At 39.7% G+C, this 6,954-nt stretch overlaps 1 long non-coding RNA gene across 1 annotated transcript in view; it reads right to left on the bottom strand.

Moving 5' to 3' along the window:
• Positions 1–411: 411 nt before the first annotated feature.
• Positions 412–6,954, bottom strand: part of BTG1-DT (BTG1 divergent transcript) — a 39,700-nt gene continuing 33,157 nt past the window's right edge. Inside the window, exon 3 of the long non-coding RNA NR_135036.1 lies at positions 412–2,070. This is a non-coding gene — a long non-coding RNA (BTG1 divergent transcript). The remainder of the gene's footprint in view (positions 2,071–6,954) is intronic.

Below are 6,954 nucleotides of genomic sequence, written 5' to 3'. Positions count from 1 at the left end.
AACTAAACGCTTGAGGTTAATGTTTGCAGGAAAAACCAGGGAGGGGACTTTTGCTAAAGGTGTTTTTTGAAATGCTGCTCAACTTCCTACTTGACACAGTAACCCAAGATAAGGGGTTTTCACCATTTTTTTTTCAATTTTTATAATTACCACAAAAACGTACCTTGTAATCTGAAGCAGAGAAACATTCAAATTTATCATAGTGTTATCCTATTTTTTTTGCTTACTTTTTCCACTGTATAAGATGATGAGAGAAAACTAAGATGTTTAGAAAATGAAAAGCATGGAAAAATAAATGACCTCCATGAAAGTATTTAGGGTTTTAAAAGAAGAAGGAGGAGGAGGATGAGGAGGAGGAGGAGGAGGAAGAAGGGGAGGAGAGGAAGAAATGCCACAACCACCATGTATTTTCACTATCTACTTGAAAATTTCAGCAATTTTCATCTTCATAGGATTTATTTTCCTAGTAGTAAGAATTCCTAGTATTTTGTTTTCTCATATCTCAGCCTTTATCACTATTAAATACTCTGTTAGTTGTGTTTGTGTATGTGTGACAAAGGAACTTAGAAATGTAGTAATATATTTTCTCATAATACAATTGCCTCTTGATTCTAAATTTGGATTTAATTAAACTATTCGATATATGTAAGAAGTTTTGATTGTAAATAATAGAAAAGAATTTTGGAGAATTTAGGCAAGCATTCAGATGTACTGCAGGGATATTTGGGCTATTTTACAGTGCCTAAGGACTGAAATATGTCAGTGTGTTAGGTTGCTTTTAAAACAGCTCTCAAAGATTTCTGCCTCCTGATACCCACACCTTGTGTCATTTCCTTCCCATGAGTAGAGGCTGGATGTAGTGGCTTCTAACAAGAAGAGAGCAGCAAAAGTCATAAGATTCTCCTCCAAGATTAGACCATGACTTCCTTCTTGGTGGCTTTTTCTCTTTTCACTCTGACAAAGGCAGATGCCATGCTGTGAGCTGAGAAGCTTATGTGACAAGAAACTGAGTGCAGCCTCTGGCCAACAGGTGGTGAGAAACTGAGGCTATTAGTGTAACAGTCTGCAGGAAACTGAATCCTACTGCAGCCATATGAGTGAACTTGGGAAAGGATCCTTCCCCATTTGAAATTTCAGATGAAACCACAACCTCAGTCAGGACTTTGACTGCAAACTCGTGGAAGACTCTGACACAGGGGATCCAACTACTCCCTGTCTAGATTCTCAGCCCACAGAAATTGTGGGATAATACATGCTGTTGTGTTAAGCCACTTAGTTTTGAGGTAATTTGGTATACAACAGCACATAAGTGATATAGTTAGCAAAAGTGTATGAGCCCTGAGGGTTGGCAGAGTGGAGGGAGGGGTGTAAAATGCTTTTACTGCTCCTTAATTTCCTTTCTCTCTGGGTGTCTGTCTCATTCATCTCTCTCATTACCAAGCCACTCTGCCTGATCCTCAGCATCCAAGTACACCAATAGCTGCCGCATTCACCTGCCTTTAGTTTCTGTCATTTGGAGGAAAATTAATGTCTTTTTAGGCACCTTTCCAAAACTATAATGGCAGGCATTGGATTGACTGATCTTGTGTCAGAGGCTGACCTCTAAACGAATCTGTATCCAGGTGGGAAACATGCAAGGGAGAGATTGTGAATGACTCTTCTTGGATCAAGTGCACTAACAGCAATTTCTGTGGTGATTATGGAAACTAAAAAATGTAGTTAGATTTGCAATTCATTTCACTATTTTTCTTACTTTGGCTTATCATTTATATAGCATGAATTACTAACGTGGTGAAACTAATATATACCATCACTCTAAAAAGTAAATAAAGAAAAATTTAAGGTCTGTAAAAAAAAACTTTTCACCTAGAAAGTGCATCATATGGGACTTGAGATTGGTACAAAGTACAGTCCAAGATGTAGAAAGTAAAAGCTTGACATTCTTGATTATTCAGGAAGGATATTATTTGACATTTGAGGCCAACTGAAGCTTCTTATGTCCGTCATATCACAAGTTCTTTGGGTCTCCACTTTCTGCCTATTGTCCAGCATATGTGGAAATATACAATTCTGGAAAAGGGGGATAAAACAACAAAAACAGAATCAATTGTTGTACCAGGGTGCTGAACATTTATCAAACTACAACTGTATAATTGTGACAAATAAGAAGGTCCCTTCAGAACTGCCTAAACGCAGAATACTGACTGTGATCAAACAATGTAGAAAAAACAGAGTGGATTTGCTGCTGGAATCCCAAACAGAACACATCGTAGAAACCTATATAATATTTTGGCTGCTAGACTTGCTTCATATATCCAAAGCATTTTGTAAAGATTAACTCTGAAATCAGGAAAAATAAGCATACTTTATTGCTGTTTTGATGTGATAAGAGTACTGGTAAGAGAGTTAAAGAAAGCATTCTATTGGAAATGGCCGAGATAATAGAATCACAATTACAGGATGCTAAAGGGCAGTTAGTGGGTGTGTGGAGTGCCTGTGAAATCAGAGGCAGGGATGGAGGGGCTGGTGAAGACACAGTGTCCACATACAGCATAGGACCTGGGCTTTAGAATCATTCTCCTTGGGTTCAAATTCTTCCTCTGCCAAGTACCAGAGACTTTGGGCATATCATTTACACTCTGTGCCTCAGTTCTTTCATTTTTAAAATAGAGAAATATTGAAAAGTACCCAGCTGTATAGTTTTGCTGTCAGGATGAGCTAAGATAATTTATATAAACAGCCTGGCATGGTGCCTAACACATGGTAATCACTCAAATGTTAGTCTTATTGTTACACACTTTTTGACACCAGTTATTTAAACTCTTTCAACCCCTATGTGCTCATTTGTCAAATGGGGAAATAATTTTAGCAATTAAAATTGTGACATATGTAAAGTTATGACATATGTAAATTATGTAAATTACATATGTAAAATATGTAAATTACATAAGTAAATTATGACATATGTAAAGTTATGTGTATGTCCTCGGATATCACGTTATACACTTACTCAGTCTAAATACAGGCATACCTTGTTTTATGGTGCTTTGCTTTGTTGCACTTTGCAGTTGGTACATTTTTTACAAATTGAAGGTTTGTGGCAACCCTGTGTCTAGCAAGTCTACTGGTGTTATTGTTTTCAAAAGCACATGCTCACTTCGTGTCTCATGTTCAGTTTTGGTGATTCGCTCAATAATTCAAACTTGCAGATATTTCAAACAGGAAATACGTTTACAGCATTGTTTACTAAATATTTTAAGCCCACCATTGAGACCTACTGCTCAGGAAAAAAATAAATAAATAAAAGATTCCTTTCAAAATATTACTGCTCTTTGACAATGCACTTGGTCACCCAGGAGCTCTGAGGGAGTTGTACAAGGAGATTAATGTCTTCATGGCTGCTAATACAGCATTCATTCTGTAGCCCATGGATCAAAGAGTAACTTTGACTTTCAAATCTTCTTACTTAAGAAATATATTTCATGAAGCTACAGCTTCAATAGATAGTGATTCATCTGATGAATCTGGGCAAAGTTGAACACCTTCTGGAAAAGATTCACCATTCTAGATGCCATTAAAAACGCTTATGAGTCATTGGAGGAGGTCAAAATATCAACATTAGCAGGAGTTTGGAAGAAGCTGATTCTTCTTCCTTATAGATGACTTTGAGGGATTCAAGACTTTGGTGGAGGAAGGAACGGCAGATGTGATAGAAATAGCTCGACCTAGAATTAGAAATGGCATCTGACGATGTGACTGAATTACTACAATATTGGGACAAAACTTGAATAGATGGGGAGTTGCTTCCCATGGTTAAGCAAAGAAAGTGGTTTCATGAGATGGAATCTACTTCTGGGAAGATCGCTCTGAACGTTGTTAAAATAATAAAGGATTTAGAATATGACAAACTTAGTTGATAAAGCAGTGACGGAGTTTGAGAAGATCGACTCCAATTTTGAAAGAAGTTCTGTGGGTGAAATGTTATCAAACAGATCACATGCCACAGATAAATCTTTCATGCAAGGAAGAGTCCATTGACGTGGCAAACTTTATTATTGTTTCATCTTAAGGGATTGCTACAGTCACCTAGCCTTCAGCAACCACCACCCTGATCAGTCAGCAGCCAACAACATCAAGGCAAGGCCCTCTACCGGCAAACAGATTACAACTCACTGAAAGCTCAGATGATCATTAGCATTTTTTTTAGCAAGAAATATTTTTAGGTCGGGCGCAGTGGCTCATGCTTGTAATCCCAGCACTTTGGGAGGCTGAGGCGGGTGGATCACCTGAGGTCAGGAGTTCGAGACCAGCCTGGCCAACATAGTGAAACCTGTCTCTACTAAAAATACAAATATTAGCCGGTCATGGTGGCATGCACCTGTAATTCCACTTGCATGGGAAACTGAGGCAGGAGAATCGCTTGAACCCGGGAGGCGGAGGTTGCCGTGAGCCGAGATCGTGCCACTGCACTCTAGCCTGGGTGACAGAGAGATACTCTGTCTCAAAAATAAAAAAAAATTTAATTAAAGTTTGTCCACTGAGTTTTTTAGACATGATATTACTGCAGCTTAACAGACATAGCAGTTTAAACATAACTTTTACATGTATTGGGAAACCAAAAATTTTATGAGTTTCTTTTTTATTATTGTGGTATTATCTTTACTATGGGATCTGTAACCAAACCCGCACTATCTCTGAGGTGTATCTATATATTTTTTCTTAGTTCTCTGGGAATGAGAAGAGAAAATAAGTTTGCAGCCCTTTTGCAATCATCTAGGATCACAGTTGCAGTCCAAACGATGGTGTGTTAGTTTTCTAGGACTGCCATAACAAATGATCACAAATTAGATGACTTAAAACAACATAAATTTATTCACATAGTTTTGGAGACTAGAAGTCTAAAGTCACGGTGTCAGCAGGGCCATGTTCCCTCTGCAAACTCTAGAAGAGAATCCTTCCTTGATTATTCTAGTTTCTGGTGGTTCCTGTGTATCTTGCTTTATGGCAGCATAATTCCAATCTCCATTTTCATCTTCATATGGTCATCTTCTCTATGGATATCTGTCTCCAATCTCCCTCTCTCTTTTTTTTTTCTCTCTCTCTCTCTTTTTTTTTCCAAGAGTCTCACTCTTACTCAGGCTGCCGTGCAGTGGTACAATCATGGCTCGCTGCTGCCTTGAACTCCTTGACTCAAGCAATTCTTCCACCTTAGCCTCTCCAGTAGCTGGAACTACAGGCATGCACCACCACACTCAGCTATCTTTTTATTTTTTATTTTTTGTAGAGATGGGGTCTCACTATGTTGCCCAGGCTGGTCTTGAATTCATGGGCTCAAGCAATCCTCCCACTTCAGCCTCCCAAAGTGCAGGGATTACAAGCATAAGCCACTGTGCCTGGCCTCTCCTTTTACTTATAAAGATACTAGTCGTCATATTTAAGGTAGACTCCAAATCTAGGATTATTTCATCTTGAAATACATAACTCATATCTGTAAAGATCCTGTTTTCAAATAGTGCCACATTCCAAGATTCTGAGCAGATAAAAATGTTGAGGGGACACTAGTCAATCCACTACAGTAGTGGTTTTCCAAATGTCTTGGAGGGACAAAGAGAAAACTTCCTCTGCTTCTGAAGTTTTGCTGCAAAGCCACTGACAAAAGGCAGATTAATAAGAGAACAGGCGTACAAATTTATTAACGTGCACAAGGGCAGAGGGGGCTATCACAGAGTAATTACCCAAATACCCAGTGTGGTACAAAAGCTTATGTACCCTTTTTCATAGGGGAAGGAGGAGACGAGGAATGCAGATTCTTTTGAAGGGCAGTAAATCATTGGGGAGAATGAATGGGTCAGGGAGGTGGAAGGCAGACATTATGGGAAGGGGAGAAGTGGAACTGTGTCGCACGTTGCTTTATGCAGATGAAGTCCCCCAAGTGATCTCTTGGAGCTGCCCTCAGAAGAACAGATGAAAAGTCTGTCTGGGGCTGGGTGCAGTGGCTCATGCCTGTAACCTCAGCACTTTGGGAGGTTGAGATGGGAGGACGGCTTGAGCCCAGGAGGTTGAGGCTGCAGTGATGCAGTGGCCCAGATTTCACCATTGCACGCCAGCCCGGATGACAGAGAGAGACCCTTTCTCAAAAAAAATAAATAAATAAAAAGTTTTTCTGGGCATGGTGACCCCAGTCTCTGCTTTTCTCTGGTGGTTGATCATTTCTGGTTCTTTGATGATATTTCTAAAAAGGGAGTCTTAAGACAATTGCATTTCTCTTGGAAAAAAGTTTTCCTGATCAGATAAGAAAAATTGAAAGAGAAACTCACCCTGTTCTTGGAGAGGCAGGGACAGGACAAGGTGTTAGAAGGGTTTTGATTCTTAGGCAGCTTCTAAAGCTTCTCAGCATGCCAAAGTGCTAGTCTTCAGGATTTTGCTTTCTGAACCCCAACAATATGGAACTCCTTCTCGCCATTTACTTTATTTTTACTTTAACCCATGCACTCGACCTACATTTAGGGAGTATCTATTGTGTGTCCCATACAGAGCCAGGTCATGGGGGCACAAAGAAGATTACTTTATTAAAGAGTTTGCAATATTTTTAGAAAGGTGCATATTAAATGGATCCTCTGGAGCTATAGTAACAAAGAGGGGGGAAAAAGTGCATTATCTTGGGTGATGAGGGAGCACTTTCTTTCCTTCTTTTTATTGAGATAGGATCTTGCACTGTTGCCTGGGCTGGAGTACAGTGGCAGCATCTGGGCTCACTGCAACCTCTTCCTCCAGGGCTCAATTGATCCTCCCACCTCAGCCTCCTGAGTAGCTGGGACTACAGGCACGCATCACCATGTCCTGCTAATTTTTGTATTTTGTGTAGAAACATGATTTTGTCATGTTGTCCAGGCTGGTCTCAAACTCCTGAGCTCAAGGGATCCACCAGCCTCAGCCTCTCAAAGTGTTGGGATT

This window comes from Homo sapiens, chromosome 12, assembly GCF_000001405.40.
Source record: "Homo sapiens chromosome 12, GRCh38.p14 Primary Assembly".
NCBI classification, from domain to species: Eukaryota; Metazoa; Chordata; class Mammalia; order Primates; family Hominidae; genus Homo; species Homo sapiens.
Note: the sequence above shows the minus strand (reverse complement) of the source record. Positions and strands in the feature narration are given on the sequence as shown.